At 39.3% G+C, this 15,910-nt stretch overlaps 1 annotated feature.

The window, feature by feature from the left end:
• Window positions 13,289-14,488: an enhancer, noted in NCBI's record as "MED14-independent group 3 enhancer chr8:138298975-138300174 (GRCh37/hg19 assembly coordinates)". NCBI's record gives its function as "activates an origin of replication core promoter dependent on BRD2, BRD4, P300/CBP and CDK7 cofactors, and independent of MED14, by STARR-seq in HCT116 cells {active_cell/tissue: HCT116}" and the evidence as "EXISTENCE:reporter gene assay evidence [ECO:0000049][PMID:35650434]".

The following is a 15,910-nucleotide window of genomic DNA, read 5'->3' as shown; positions in this document are numbered from 1 at the left end:
ATAAAGAATGGTCAGGAAAAGCCACCATTTGCCCAGTAGTACTAGATTAAATTGTTGATCAGCACATATTCCTTAGGGTGGAGTATATACCCCTGTTCCCATGACTTTGTGCTTGGCCATGACTTGTTTGGAACAATGGAATATAAAGGTATAGGACAAGGATAGAGACTAAACATTTCTTTGGTTTCATGTTTCCTCTTGTGCTGCTGTATTCCTTCATAAGAAGGTCAAATTCCAGATGGCTACTGCATCTGCAGGTTGGACCTCAGAATGAGATATATAGAGCAGAAATAAATCTTACCTGCGGCCTGGAGACAAGCCAAGTGGACCCAGCTTAGATCAACCTCGCTTAGCCTAGCCAAGCAAGGAAAATTATTATGTTTTGTTGTAAACCACTGAGATATTCAGTATTTTTGTTACACTGCCAAAATATGTATATGACTAATATATTCTGGTGTTTATTATAATTTTTTGGCCTTTTTACTTTTCTTGATGACCTATTTTCATTTACATTACACTTCTCCCCACATCAGACCCCTGGGATCAATGTCTTTCATTTGCGAAAATGTCTGTTTCTTCCTCTGAGATTTGGTTTTGGGGTTCAGACTTTTTAGTATTTAGATTCCAGCAGGCACCAGTGAACCAGTCTGTCCATGCATTTCTTATGTCACCTCATTGCCTCTGACTGCAATCTTTCATCTTGTTTTCACTTTGCTAAAACTAAAACTCAAAGTTGCATCCTGGCTAGGGTTGCTTTGGGTCCCTACAATAAGATGAGTAAAGCAGAGGCCTAGGACTGTCATGGCCCATCCATGTGAATTCAGCAAGATCAGGTTATTTTTTGATGCCTGAGTAAAAAACCAGCTTCCTAGTTCCATTAGCCTAAACCATAATATTGCTGGCAACAGAGATAAAATCAGAAGCCAGCAAACTCCAAAGCCCTAAAAGATTAACTGGGAAGATGTGAGGTAAAGCATATGGGATACAGCCATCTCCTTTCACAGCACACATTTACTTGTGCCTTCTTTAAGTCCAAATAGTTTCAGTGTAGCGACCAGCTCAATTTCTACAAAAGACTTAATTTAGGTGAGGTAGAATGAGCTACCTTTTCTGCCTGTATTCCCCAAACTCACAATTGTTATTCAGCAACTACTCCTTAAATACCTAATTTTCCTAAGCCCTCTAGATTGCTCATTTAATGGAGCGACCTTGAGTATGATTCTGTGAGGCTATGATTGCCTGTCCTTATAGGGCCATTGTTACCGTAATTACCTATTTATAGTCATCCTTGGATGTGATAGAAAAGGAACTGATCTGGTGGGCTTCCTAGATTCTAGCACTTTCTTTCCTATTCCCCTGCTTAGGTAACAACCCTAGGGAACCAAAGTCAATAGGGTCATTGGGCTTCACCAATACAGTAACACCTTATCTTGTCTCATGGACCTTCTTCATGCCCCATATGACAGGGTAGAATGTGCAGTTTTCAGTTCAGTGGCATTTTCCCAGTGTGTTATGATAGAAGCTGTCCTTCCTTGGGAACAAGGGGTTCTAATCAGCTGAGCTAAAGTTTTAAGGTTAAGAAGCACAAGTTTCACAAACGAGATGTGAGTAGTCTGTTGAGAAGGACCAATTCTACTTTAACCATTTGGACCACAGATCCATGCAATCCAGCTCATGGAGCATGCATAAAAGATATGCTATCTGTGTGCATATGCAGCATTCTGGAATAGGCCACCCCAACCCTTCAGTGTGTTTTTCAGCTGACCACTTTCCACTGATTTGGAATACATTATAATCATGCTTGTTGTTGCTATTCCTTTGCCATAAAGTGGGTTCCTGGCTCTAAAATAGTGTTGAGGAAGATTCTGTAAACTTAGATAAAATTTTCTCTGAGTTCTTAGATGGTGATGTGGTAGAAGCACTGTGAGTTGGTAAGCAAACCCCTATCAGTCTTCTAGGTTAACAGTATCTGCTTAGAAGTTCTATCATTCAGATTTTTGTCTGCCAGCTCTTTCCTCCAAATGCTACATGGATGATTGACAGAATTTGTGAGTTACATAATCTTGTGGTGGTAGAGAGGAAAGAATTGCGGGGACAGTGGGGGTGGGGGACGTGCTTCAATACGGGGAGCAACTGCATCCTTTCTGGTCTCTGCTTCAGGGGATTTTGTTTGTTGCTTGCATGTTTGTTTTGCTGGCTGCACAGTGGACTGCAGAGCAGTGATGTGAGACCCCCCTTGGGTATTCTGCTGGTGGCTGCTGCTGAGGTCTGTTCCTGAGTTTACGTGTGGTGTGATGTTGCCAGCTGGAAGGTGGTAGGGAGAAAAATATTCTGCTGAATAGACCTCACCTCAGCCCACTCCCCTAACTGTGATGGCCGTATGGTTCCCAGACAAGGAGGTTGCCCCCAAAATCCTTGGCAACATTCACAGTTCTCTGGGACCCTCAGCATTTCATTCTGACTTCGGTGTCTCCCCATATCCTGCTAAATGCCACATGCTGGAATAGAGGGGCAAAGACTCTTTCCTGAGAGACAAAATAGGCTCCTCCTCTGCTTGACCAAACGTTGTTCACCAAACCACTTGGATATGGCTGCCCTTAGTTTGATGGAAGGGTTGAGAAAATAGAAAAGGGTAAAGGTGGAGGGCTGCCAGGCATCCCCTACTAGGGTTCCACACAGGGAGTGAGCAGAGGGACCATAGCCCTGGTGTCCTCATCATCCTGTACAGCCCATCTCACACTCCCCTTTGCCTCTGGGATTTCCACTGTGTATTATATTCTTCTCTCATGCTAAGATGCATATGTGTATGTGAGGGTTAATTTTAGGTGTCAACTTTACTGGATTACTGGATACCCAGATAGCTGAGAAAGCATTATTTCTGGGTACATCTGTGAGGGTGTTTCTTGCACAGATTGGCATTTCAATCTGTGGCCTGAATAAGGGAACTCTACCCTTACCCAATGTTGTTGGGCACAATCCAATCAGCTAAAGACCAGGATAGAAGAAAAAGGCAGAGAAAAGATGAACTTTTATTTTCTTCTTTTCTGGCAGAGAAAAGATGAACTTTTCTCCTTTGTTCTTTTTCTTTCTTTTTTCTTTTCTTTCTTTTCCTTCTTTCTTTTTTTCTCTTTCTCTTTCTCCTTCCTTCCTTCCTTCCTTCCTTCCTTCCTTCCTTCCTTCCTTCCTTCCTTCCTTCCTTCCTTCTCTTTCTTTCTCTCTTCTGGAGCTGAGACCCCCATATTCTCATGCCCTTGGACATCAGAACACCAGGTTCTCCAGCCTTCAGATGCCAGGACTTGCACCAGCAGTCCCCTAGTTTCTCCAGCATGTAGACAGCATATTGTGGGACTTCTCAGCTTCCATACTGATGTGGGCCATTTACCTTAATAACCCCCCTGCCATGTATGTGTATATATATATCATTGGTTCCATTTTTCTGGAGAACCGTGACGTGCACAATGTGTTTCACAAAACAGTATTCTCGATGTGAGTGGTGCATTCAATCCGCATCCTATTCTACTTAATTCTGTTGTGTCCTAATCAATCACTAAGGAAAAACAAACTGAAAAAAAAAATCCCACCAAAAACAACACACAAAACTTGTCTTAATACTACTCAATTGACTTTCTGACACATAATAATGGATCACAATCTGCAGTGTGGAGGGACTTGGAAAACCCTTTTCTTTCCTAACACGACTAGTTGTTTTTGTTGTTATTGTTACGAAACAGCTAGTCACTAAAGAAACTCAGTTTCAAAACTCAAGGCTTCTTGGTGGCCTCTGTGTTCTAGGAAATAGCATCACTTTCTCCTTCGCAAGAGCAATGAACTTCAGGGTTTGGCCCAGAAGTGGAGGACTGCACAGGGGCCCACCTTGGGGGTAAATTAAAGTGAATGGGTTTAATTTTTGCAAAACATTATCCTCATTATAGGATCTTCTATTATCTCAGTGTGGGAGAGCCAGAAATAAGGTAACATATGCCAAATGTCAAATCCCAAATCTGGTTACTTGCCTTTCTTTTCTTTTTTTTTTTTTTTGTTTTTTTTTTCTTTTCACTGCCCACTGAATAAAAGTCCCTGTGTTCATCAAATGGGCCTCTGGACTTAGATCCAATTATAGCCAGCACGAAAAAAGGATACACTATTAGGGAAAAGTAGCTGGAATGGCCCCAATTCATAGGGGATTAGTTCCAGGATCACCTGCAGCTACGGAAATCCATGCCTACTCAATTCCAGCAGGCCTGCCTGTGGGCCCTGCAGCTAAGAAATGCTGGTCCTCTGTGGAGGTGAGTTTCACATCCTGCCAATTCTGAATTTTGTTTTTACCTTTGGTTGTGGATGCAGAACCCACTTATACAGAGGCCAATTGTATTTATTGAAAAAAAATTACTTAGAAGTAGAGTCCCCCAGTTCTAACCTGTATTGTTCAAGGGTCAGCTGTTCTTTTTCTCACCCCCATCTTGAATACAAACTCTAAGGGAAAAAACTAAGTATCTGAAGTTCATCAGAGAACAACATAAAAACTCAACAAGGCTTGCTTGGTTTATAAAAGGACACAGTGAAACCTTCCAGGCCAAAGGTTGCCACAGTGAGCTTCTTCCCCAGATACTTTTTGCCCCCGTTCATGTCACCATAACTCTTAGTCCATCATATGCATATGGATGGGCGTGGCTTAGGGACCACATCAGAAGGGGTGAAAACATGATTAGTGGGCGGGTTTTTAAACTGTTATATTTAGATTCTAAAACTTCTTTGTGAAATTGACTCTGCATAAGATCAGGCGGGGATCTTACTCCAATGGCATGTGGTAGTCCAAGTAACTAATAAAGTTTGTTAGGATTCACCAGCCAAACGTATTTATTTCACATTTCAATATGCCCATAGGGTTCAATTTTAAAGGGAGTGATGTGGCCTGGAAGCTGTCACAGTCAGTTTCAAGGGACAATCACAGCTTCAGCCACTCCATATTTATTCGTAATGTATTACAGATAGGACTGTTTCCACTTCCTTCCAAGGAAGGAAGGAAGGAGGGAGGGAGGGAGGCAGGGAGGGAAGGAAGGAGAAAGAGAAAGAAAATAAATAAATAAATAAATAAATAAATAAATAAATAAATAAATAAATAAAGAAGGAAGGAAGGAGAAAGGAAGAGAAAGAAAAAAAGAAAGAAAGATGAGAGAAAGAAAGAAAGAGAGGAAGAAAGAAAGAAAAGAAACAAAGAAGGAAAGAAAGAAAGAAGGAAGAAAGAAAGAAAAAGAAAGAAAGAAAGAAAAGTTCATCTTTTCTCTGAAAAGAAGAAAATAAAAGTTCATCTTTTCTCTGAAAAGAAGAAAATAAAAGTTCATCTTTTCTCTGAAAAGAAGAAAATAAAAGTTCATCTTTTCTCTGAAAAGAAGAAAATAAAAGTTCATCTTTTCTCTGAAAAGAAGAAAATAAAAGTTCATCTTTTCTCTGAAAAGAAGAAAATAAAAGTTCATCTTTTCTCTGAAAAGAAGAAAATAAAAGTTCATCTTTTCTCTGAAAAGAAGAAAATAAAAGTTCATCTTTTCTCTGAAAAGAAGAAAATAAAAGTTCATCTTTTCTCTGAAAAGAAGAAAATAAAAGTTCATCTTTTCTCTGTCTTTTTCTTTTATCCTGGTCTTTAGCTGATTGGATTGTGCCCAACAACATTGGGTAAGGGTAGAGCTCCCTTATTCAGGCCACAGATTCAAATGTCCATCTGTGCAAGAAACACCTTCACAGATATACCCAGAAATAATGCTGTCTCAGCTATGTGGGTATCCAGTAATCCAGTCAAGTTGACACCTAAACTTAACCCTCACATACACATGTAGAAAGATGTTAAAAAATAAATAAATGAATAGGTGAATAAATAGATACATATGTAAACATACTGTCAACTAAGATGAGGATTGGTATGTTTCGTTAATTGATATGTTTACTGCAGAAAATCTTAGAGCCTTTTAGATGCATCCTAAATACCCAGTGAGGATTAAAATACGCAGATACTTCAACATGTTGACCATTCCCTCTGTTGATAAGAATGTTGCTTGGAACACACTCTGGAAACCAGTGATATAGACACAAGAACATACACTATGGCCAAAATCAGAACTGAGTTTGTAGTGAAATGATAACACTGTTTCTTTAGCTTTACACAGAAAGGATAGTCATAGTTTGTATTATCTAAATTTGTTTTTTAAAAACTATTAGTTTCTTTCATTGTAGCAATACTAAAATCAATATATAATGCATTTCTCTCATTCTTCATAAAAATATTCACATATCCCCTACTTTTCATGTCCAGCAAACATGCTAATCCCTCTTGTTTTCTTCAATCTTTTTTCTCCAGTCTCCAGGCAAGTCTCATTGTTGAATGCTAACTTTTCAACCTGCAGATAAAATATTCTTGGATGAGTCTGTCCCTATAATTATTTGCTGTATAGTCTTTCATTAAAATATTAGCAAATTGTTGACAATCTCTTTTGCATACTAATGAACTATTCATCGACAATTCTCAGTGGCTGTGTTCTTAGTGCATGTTTTAAAGTAAATAATGCTGACTTATCATTTGACAAACCTGCTGTTGAAATACTTCCATTTTCTACCCACCAGCTGTCCTCTCTGAGAGGTAGATGTCATGAATCCCAGGATGAGGATTATATAGTACCACCTATTCTGTTAGGATATTTTATTTCTAGGCTTTAGAGTGTCTAGTAGTGAGCTTAAATATTATATCACTGAGCTATTGATTAGAATGGATTTTGTCATTCATTCTAACCTGCAGAGATCCAAACTGTATTTATAATTAATTGTAAAGAAACGGAACACAAAGGTGACAGCAGCTACTATGCTTTTATAATATTATCTTTTTTTGAAAAGAAATACGGTTATTAACATTGAGTCCCACATGTACCCTAGTGAGAAAGCAACAAATAACAATCCCTCACTATTGGTAAATAAAATCACATCCCTTCATTGTGTTGTCTATAAAATATTTTTGAATGCCTACTACATGTAAGTTACTGTATAATATGTACAGATATGTAATATCTGTTTAGTTTGAATAAATATATTCACACAATGAATATATATATAATTCATATATATATATATATATATCTGCCATTATCTATTCCTGTGATATTATCTATTTCTGTGACATATCTATTCCTGACATTAAGTTCAACATATAATTGTTGCCTGGAAATCGGAATGCTTTTTCCCAACTGTATACTGTGCTGAGATTTTGGGTAAAATAGGTCACAGGAGGTGTCTGGCCCCAGTGGTAGCTGAGGTGATGTCAAGTCAACATTAAGTATTGAGAGGAAAGACTGGTCCATTAGCTCCACAGGATTCGAGGCCAGCAGCAGAATGAAGCGGATTAAGGTGCTGTCAACCCATTCAGAAAATAGCAAGACTCTAGCATTGCTTTGCTATCAAGTGGAACTGGGTACTTTTCTTCTTTTATATTGTATACAATAGTATTTTGATTGTCATAACTACTCAAAAGGATACCATTTTCACAAGCAGACCATACTAAAAATATGTAATGAGAATTATACTTTCATTTTCCTTGCTCAAGGACTGTAGCTCTAGCTGTACTTGGACCTATCCATAAATACCATGGCTTTCTCACTTCTGCCTTTACTTATCTTCTTGTTCTGTTTGAATCTCAGGTTTACCATTCAGAATACTCTCACATGTGCTACTTCAATCCATTTGCCCCTTTCTTCTTTCTTCACACACAAGAAAATATTTCTAGATAAAATGAACCTCTGTGTGCTTGTAGCAGAATAACTGAACCTCACTGGAGAAAATCACACAGCCTGGAAGATTGAATTTGGTTTAATTTTATGATTTCATACTTCTAATAGCTCTCTGAGCTGCCCAGAATACATATTACCCTACTTTCATAATCTTGCTCTCTTCTCTTTCTTTGAGATGAGCATTTCACCCCTTCTCCTTTCCCCCCGAGACATCTTATTGTCATTGACCTCTTCCCTCTCAGCGGTTGATCTAATTTGGAAACCGAATGACATCACAAAGTGGCACTTCATTTTGGATGCAGCTGGAGGAATTCTCAAAGTCTGAATTGCAGAGCTGGGCAGACTTTTAACTATTTCATGGCATTTGCCAGTGTCCTTTTCCCTGCTCTACCTTATCTCTTTCACTGTCTGTGCCTCGAGTACCAAAAGGACATATTTGTCTACATTAAGATGTGACTCATAGAGTGTATTTATTATGTGCTGCTAGCTGGATTAACTATCAAACTTTTCTTTTTTCTTTTTTTGCTATTTATATGTTTGTCTCTTAATCCATGATTGAGGGACAAGCCCCTGAGTGCTGGCAGGGAAGGCCACCTGAGAAAATGACACATACGGAAGACTCTGAGACTACTAGAGCAGAATTTGAAGGAGCTGGAGGTCTGCAACAGTGATCGAAAAGAGCAAAATAATTACGATTCTGGCAAAAAGTTTACTCCTCAAATTTGTTTGCTTAAGCTAGCGGTTATGTCAATCAATAGCAGAGATAAAAAGTTTTAAGTGTTCACCATAATATATAAACATACACAAAAAATTGCTTCTACAAATTATTTTGGAAAATTCTATTATTTACACTTAAGACATTTTGTTAAATATAGCCTTAACTGATGTTTGAATTTTATATGTTTTTCATCTTCAGGACTACCGTATAGCAACAAATTGCCAGGCATGGGGGCTCACACATGTAATCCCAGCACTTTGGGAGGCTGAAGTGGGAGGATCACTTGATGTCAGGAGTTTGAGACCAGCCTGTCCAACATGATGAAACCCCATCTCTACTAAAAATATAAAAATTAGCTGGGTATGGTGTCGGGTGCCTGTAATTCCAGCTACTTGGGAGGCTGAGGCAGGGGAATCGCTTGAACCCGGGAGGCAGTGGTTCCACTGCACACCAGCCTAGGCGACAGAGTGAGACTCCATCTCAATAAAAAAATTTCAATCATTAAAATGTTTGTGTGGAGGTTTATGAAAATATAATGTCCGTCTTCACTGCTAAGCTCTGACTCAGAGACAATAAATTTATTTGTTTACTCATTCTTACAAGAATAATTATTTAATATTTATAGAGTGACTACACTATTTCATGTTTTAATTTTCTTCTAGATTTTGATACTTCAGATATAATCATAGCATATAACACATAACGTTGTCTTGAAGGAGCTTATATTCTATGGAAGGGGATGTACCACAAACCTATAATTATACGTTTGTAGATGCATTTATGTATACATATTGTGATAATATGTATATGTTTATAGATGCATTTGTGTATATACATTGTGATAAAATTCCAAGAGGAATATAAAATGGAGCCAGGCAAAAGGGAGTAGAGAGTAAGGGGGATGGGTCACTGTATCATATAGAATACTCAGCAAAGGCCTCAGCAAGTAGGCTGTGTTTGATTAGAGACTTAAAGTAAAGAAGAACGTAAACCCAGAAAATACAAAACCAATACCATAGTGTGTAAAGACACTAAGGAGGATGCATGCTAAGTGTGTTTGAGAAGCAGTGAGGAGGCCATTGCAACTGGAGTACAGTGATTGAGAGAGTGAGTCATGGAAATTGGGTGGAGGAGAATCACAGGCATCAGATCATGGGGGTGCTTTGCAGACAGCTACAAAAGTGTCGGCTGAGATGAGAAAATGTAAGAGAATTTTCAGAAAAAAGTAGCATAATCTGATTTAAGATTTATAGGGTTCCTACTCTGGCTGCTCTGTTGAACATACACTAGAGGACAGGATGGCAAGAGAGACCAGCAGGGAGGTTAAAGAGCTAGTACATTTAAAGTAAGAAATAACAGTGCAGTCAGGATGGTGACAGGGGAGGAAATGAGAATAATGAATATACTCAGATTCATTTCAATGGTAGGTCCAATGGGATTTTTTGATAGATTAGCAGTGAGTGGAAAGAAGAGGCAAAAAATGGGTGATTAGTTGTGTAATGAACTGAGATAGAGAAGACTGAAGGAGCAGATTGAAGTAGGAAAAGCAAGATATATTTTTTTAATATGTTAAGTAGAGATGTCTTGAAGGTGGTTGTGTAGTAAGGTCAAGTGAGTAATTTGATTAATAAGTCTAGAGTTTGGGGGAACATATAAACTAGAGATCTTTAGATGGTAGTTGGACTATGAGTTTACAGTTGGGAGTAAAATTTGGACTATGTATATATATGCTACAAATTTGAGATTTCTCAGCATACATACAGTATTTAAGTTCATATGAATAAAAGAAATCTCCTAGGAGTAAGTATGGTAGAGAATTGAGGAAGTCTGAGGATGGGTCACTCCAGCATTGGAGAAGGAAAGAAAGTAGATAAATCAATGTGGTAGTGAAAGCATGTGGATGTTGTCTTATAATTGTTTCTGTTTTCTCAATATGATAGGTAGAAGCATATTAGATAAGAGTGAAAATAAAAGCAGTAAGTGAGGTTTTGGAAATTTTAGGCGAGAGGATGAATCATAAGATAACCATCCTGGAGATCAAAAGATTGAATGGACTGATGAAATAATGAAGAATTGACAGCAGTATTAATAGTCAATTTGAGATTGGGTATCTTTGAATCATAGAGTTACCATGAAACCATAGCTTGCTTCATTTTTCTCCAGCCATGCTTTAATATGGGGCTGCTGAAACAGGATAATGCCAGAACGTTCATTTCACTAGGATAAGAGATTCATTTGGTGAGGGAAGAGAGGGTAGTATGTGGAAATTTGATTTAAATGAACTATAACAATGATGGGCCATGGACTCTAAATGGAAATAAACATCATGTAAGGTCATGAGTAGTGTAAGAAGCAATAATGATGTGGCAAGATCAATGAAATGTAGATTTCTGGTGGACAAATACATTGTTGGAATTGGGTGTCAGTAAAAAATAAGTTAGAATAAGAGGTGATAGAAAATGAAAAACTTGGAAATCAGATTATAAAGAGTATGCAAATATTGCAGTGAGTTCTAGAGTATTATTTTGGGTGTTTTTCCTTGATATAGGAGTTATATACCATCACTGAAGTTCAAAATTATTTAAATAAATAAGAAACAAAATAGATAATTAATACCCAAATATGATAAATTCACAATGTCTGAAATCCAATACAAAATTATCAGAGGAACAAGTAAAATGGGGCCATTATTAGGAGAAAAAGCAATCAATATCATCAGACCAAAAAAAAATCACACAGATAATATAATTCATAGATGTTAAAACACCTGATATGAATATATTCTATATGTCTAAGAATCTGGAGAAAATATAAACATGTTTTGGAAGCTACTGAAACATATAAAGAGGATCCAAATTGAACTCCTAGATACTAAAAAGTGCATTATCTGAAAGCCAGGTGAGGTGGCTCACGCCTGTAATCCCAGCACATTGGGAGGCTGAGGCAGGTGGATCACTTGAGGCCAGGAGTTCAAGACGAGCCTGGCTAACATAGTAAAACTTTGTCTCTACCAAAAATATAAAAAAAGAAAAAAATTAACTGGGCATGGTGGTACTCACCTTGTAATCCCAGCTACTCAGGAGGCTGAGGCAGGAGAATCATTTGAACTCAGGAGGCAGAGGCCTTAGTGAACCAAGATGGCACCATTATGCTGCAGTCTGGGCAAAAGAGCAAGACTCTCTCTCAAAAAAAGGAAAAAAAGAAAATGTTTGTAAAACATATCTGATTAAACATGTGCATCCACAATATACAACTAAGACTCAAAACTCAATAATAAGTAAATAAGAGATCTATTTAAAAAGTGGACAAAAGACTTGAACAGACATTTCACTGAAAGAGATGTAAAAATAGCAAATAAGCATATGAAAAAATGGTCAACATCATTAGTCGAGGGTAAATGTGCAGTAAAATAAAATTTCATGCCTATAAGAAAGACTTAAAAACAAAAAACCTGAATGTACCTATTGCTGGAGAAGGTGCAGAGTGACTGGAATTCACACACGTTGCTGGTAGGAACACAAAATGATACAGCTAATTTGGAAAAGAGTTTGGCATTTTCTTACAAATTTAAACATACATTTACTATATGATCTAGTGCTTCTACTTCTAGATATTTGTACTAGAGAAATGAATACTTAGATTCACACAAAAACATAATCACCAAAGTTGTGAAACTTCAAATATCTTTCAATTTGTCAATGGGTAAACAAATAGTGGTACATCCATACAATGGAATGCTAACAAGTAATAAAAGATGACATATTGTTACACAGAACAGCATGGAAGAATCTCAAATACATTATACTAGGTGAAAAAAGCCAACATTTACATTATATATGATTTCTTTATATGACAATCTGGAAAAGAAAAAAGTCACAAGGATAGAAAAAATAAAAAAGATCAGTGGTTACCAGAGCCTAATGGTTAATGGAGGGCTTCACCACATAGGAGAAAAATGGATCTTCTAGGCTGATGAACATTTTTAATATCTTGATTGTGGTGGTGGGCAGGACTGACTGCATTTGTCAAAACTTATGAGCTGTACACTCATGTGTGTGAATTATACCTTAATAAATCTAATTTAATTATTGGAAATATAATCTATGTGGATATTACACTGACCAGAAATTAAAATAGTTAGAATATTAGTGAGAATAGCAATGAGTCAGGTACTACAATCCCTTATAAATAAGAACTTTGGGGTTTGTAAGGTGATTCACACTAAAGTGTTAGTGTGGTACTGCCTGCTTCCATGAGTTCCAATGAGGTTAAATCAAAGGAGGGGGGTTGAATTGAAGCTTTGGCAACGGCAGTAAAAAGGGAAACTCCTTGAGTTGCATGAAAGGTGTGGAGAAGTAAATAATCATGGTTTCGAGAAAATTTCAGGAGAAGTAGCAATCTCCACGGTGAGCCAGGTTCCAGTTAGAGCAAGAAGGGCAACAAAACACAAGGAATGATGTTGAGATGTCAGATAATGTACTGGTGTCCTAAAAGTAGAGTGGAAATGTTTAGGAGGTTTGTGGTGAATGGAAGACTGGTCACTTTAAAAACACACAGAACCACATGGGAGCGAGAATCCAAGGGATGCAGAGTTAACTAGGTTTGTAGAGTTTATGCTGGCAAATGGCTTCAATGGCAATAAAGTTCATCATAAGACTCTGGTACTTGTGGCTCTGAGTATGAGTGAGGAGGAAGAGTAGAGATTGCCCATGAGAACACAGAGCCCTGGAGGTCCCTCTTCCATTGTTCTCATAATGCTGACTATATAGAAGCAGGGGAGGTCTCCCCAAGGTCACATGGAGGTTTTTGGTTGTGTGTGTGTGTGTGTGTGTGTGTGTGTGTGTGTGTATATATATTCATACGTATATATACACACAGATGTATATATAAACACACACGTATATGCATATATATGTATATACACACTGTAAGGTTCTTGTATCGGTTCAAACCCCAAGAGCATGCCAACAGACAACACAAGGTGGTGTGGAGCAATATACCGTTTTAATGAGTGCCTGGCTGCAGGCAGGCTGAGGCCTAAAATGGCGTCAGCCCTAAGTGAGGATGGGACAAAGGTTTTTTAGTCTCCTGTAAACAGGAAGTGTTCTCGCCTGACGTAACTGCTAGGTTGTACCTGGATGGCCTCTTTCTCGATCTTCAGGGGTGCGTGTCTTCCGGCCAGCTCTCTTCCTGCTTCTGCTCTCTTGCTGATGCACCCTGCTGGCGCCAAGTGGCCTTGTGTCTTGGGACTGGGCCTGCGAAGGGAGGAGTTATTCATCTCCTTAAGCTTTCAGGCCCTGTGGAGGAGGATCTTACGTTCCTATTTGGTTATAGAAAAAAGGGAAAAGGGACGACTTTCTCAATAACTAATGCAGGCGTGACATAGCGGGTGGCATGGGCACCTTAGAAAAAGAAAAACTTTCATTTTTTGGGTATTCTTGAGAGACGGGTTGGTATCCACCGTGTCGTTGTAGCAGGAGCATCATCTGGATTGTCTGGAATCACGCCTGTGCCTGCAAAACAGTTATGTTGAGAGGACAAGGAGGTGTCAACAGGGAGAGGCATGGCCTCATTCGCTGCTTCATGAATGAAAGACCATGTCTGGATTAAGGAGGGGAGGTAATTGCTGAGTGGCTCAGAGTCTGGTAAGGGTGGAGGCCCCAAGAAAAAGGTTCAGCCATACATGATTTCAAAGGGACTATAAAAAGAGGGTGCCTTTGGTTTTGTGTGGAGTCTTATAAGGGCAAAAGGGAGATTTTTTGTCCATGATTGACAGGTTTATAGACCCAGGTTAGAAAGTTGGGTTTTAAGGACAGAGTTAATTTTTTCAACTTTGCCTGAAGATTGAGGCCTGTAGGGTGTGTGGGGATCCTACTTTATTTTTAAGGATGTAGAGATGCCTTGGGTAACTTGGCTGATGAAGGCAGGCCTGTTATTGACTGAATGGATGTTGGGAGTCTGAAATGGGGAATTATATGCATGATAAGGGTTTGTGTGATGGCATTTGCACCTTCTGAAGTTGTTGGGAATGCTTCTACTTACCTGGAGAAAGTACAGAGACTAGAAGATAGCAGAGCTGTTTATTGGGCAGCATGTGAGTGAAGTCTACTTGCCAATCTTGCCCAGGTATCTGGCCTCCAGCTTGGTGGGTAGGAAAAGGCAGTGACCGGAGGGAGCCCTGGGGTGAAACTGAGTGGCAGATAGAGCAGGCCTGGGTAATTTCTCGAACACAAGTGAGAATAGGGCAGATAAATTGCAAGAGAGGTTTGTAACCAACATGGCAAGAGCTGTGGAGGCTTTGGAGGTGAGGAAGGCTTTGAGAGTGAGGAAGAACAAAGCACCCTTCCTTGATGTACCATGGTCCTTGCCTTTGAAGGTTCTGGGCCTGGAAGTCCTCCTTTTCTTCTGAGGAGTAAAGAGGAGAGAATAACGACAGGGACAGAAACTGGCCTTGCACGGGTTGTAGGGCTACTTGTTTGGCTACCTGATCTGCTAAAGCATTTCCAGCTGATATAGGATTGTCCGGGGTTTGGTGGCCGCTGCAATAAATGATGGCAACTTTCTGTGGTAGCCTGGCAGCTTAAAGGAGCTTGCTGATGAGAGAGCCATTTATGACGGGAGTGTTTTTTGCAGTTGGGAAACCTCGATCTTTCCAGATGAATCGAGTATGAGTGCACTATGTGGAACGCATAACGAGAATTTGAATATATGTTGATCTGTTGCCTGACTGCTAGAGTGAGAAATCGAGTGAGGGCGATGAGTTCAGCTTTTCGGGAGGTGGCGCCTGGGAGGAGCAGATTCGCTTCAATAGTGTGCGGGGGGGCAGTGACACTATAGCATAGCCAGCATGCCGGAGCCCTTGATGTAGGAAGGATTTGCAATCTACAAACCAAGTAAAGGAGGCATCTGGAAGGGGTTGGTCTGTTAGGTTTGGAAAAGGTATAAGAAAGGTTTGAAAAATGTTTACACAGCAGTGTGTAGGGTTTTGGGCAGTTGTAGCTTCAGGTAAGAGTGTGGCCAGGTTTAGACAGGAGCTGGTTAGCATGGTGATTTGAGGTGATTTGAGGGGTTTCTATGAATAGAGCATACAGTTGGAGGAAATGTGGGGCAGAGATGAGACTTAGTACACTGTGGCGAGCTAGCATGTCTTTGATGTTATGGGTTGAATAAACTGTTAGGTTGGCATGGAGAGATAATTTTAGGCTTTCAAGGGTGAGTACAGTAGCTACCGCCAATGCCTGGAGACAGGCAGGCCATCCAAGAACTGTGGCTTCAAGCTGTTTAGAGAGGTAGGCAATAACCTGGAGGGTGGTTCTCTTTGACTGGGTTAGAACACCCAGTGCAACTCCACGCATTCATCAGTATAAAGGAGAAAGGTTTGGTGAGGTATGGGAGAATGAGGACGTGGGCTGAGATGAGAGCCTTT

This window comes from Homo sapiens, chromosome 8 (assembly GCF_000001405.40).
Source record: "Homo sapiens chromosome 8, GRCh38.p14 Primary Assembly".
Lineage (NCBI taxonomy): Eukaryota > Metazoa > Chordata > Mammalia > Primates > Hominidae > Homo > Homo sapiens.
The sequence above is the reverse complement of the archived record's forward strand: the minus strand, read 5'-3'. Positions and strand labels throughout refer to the sequence as shown.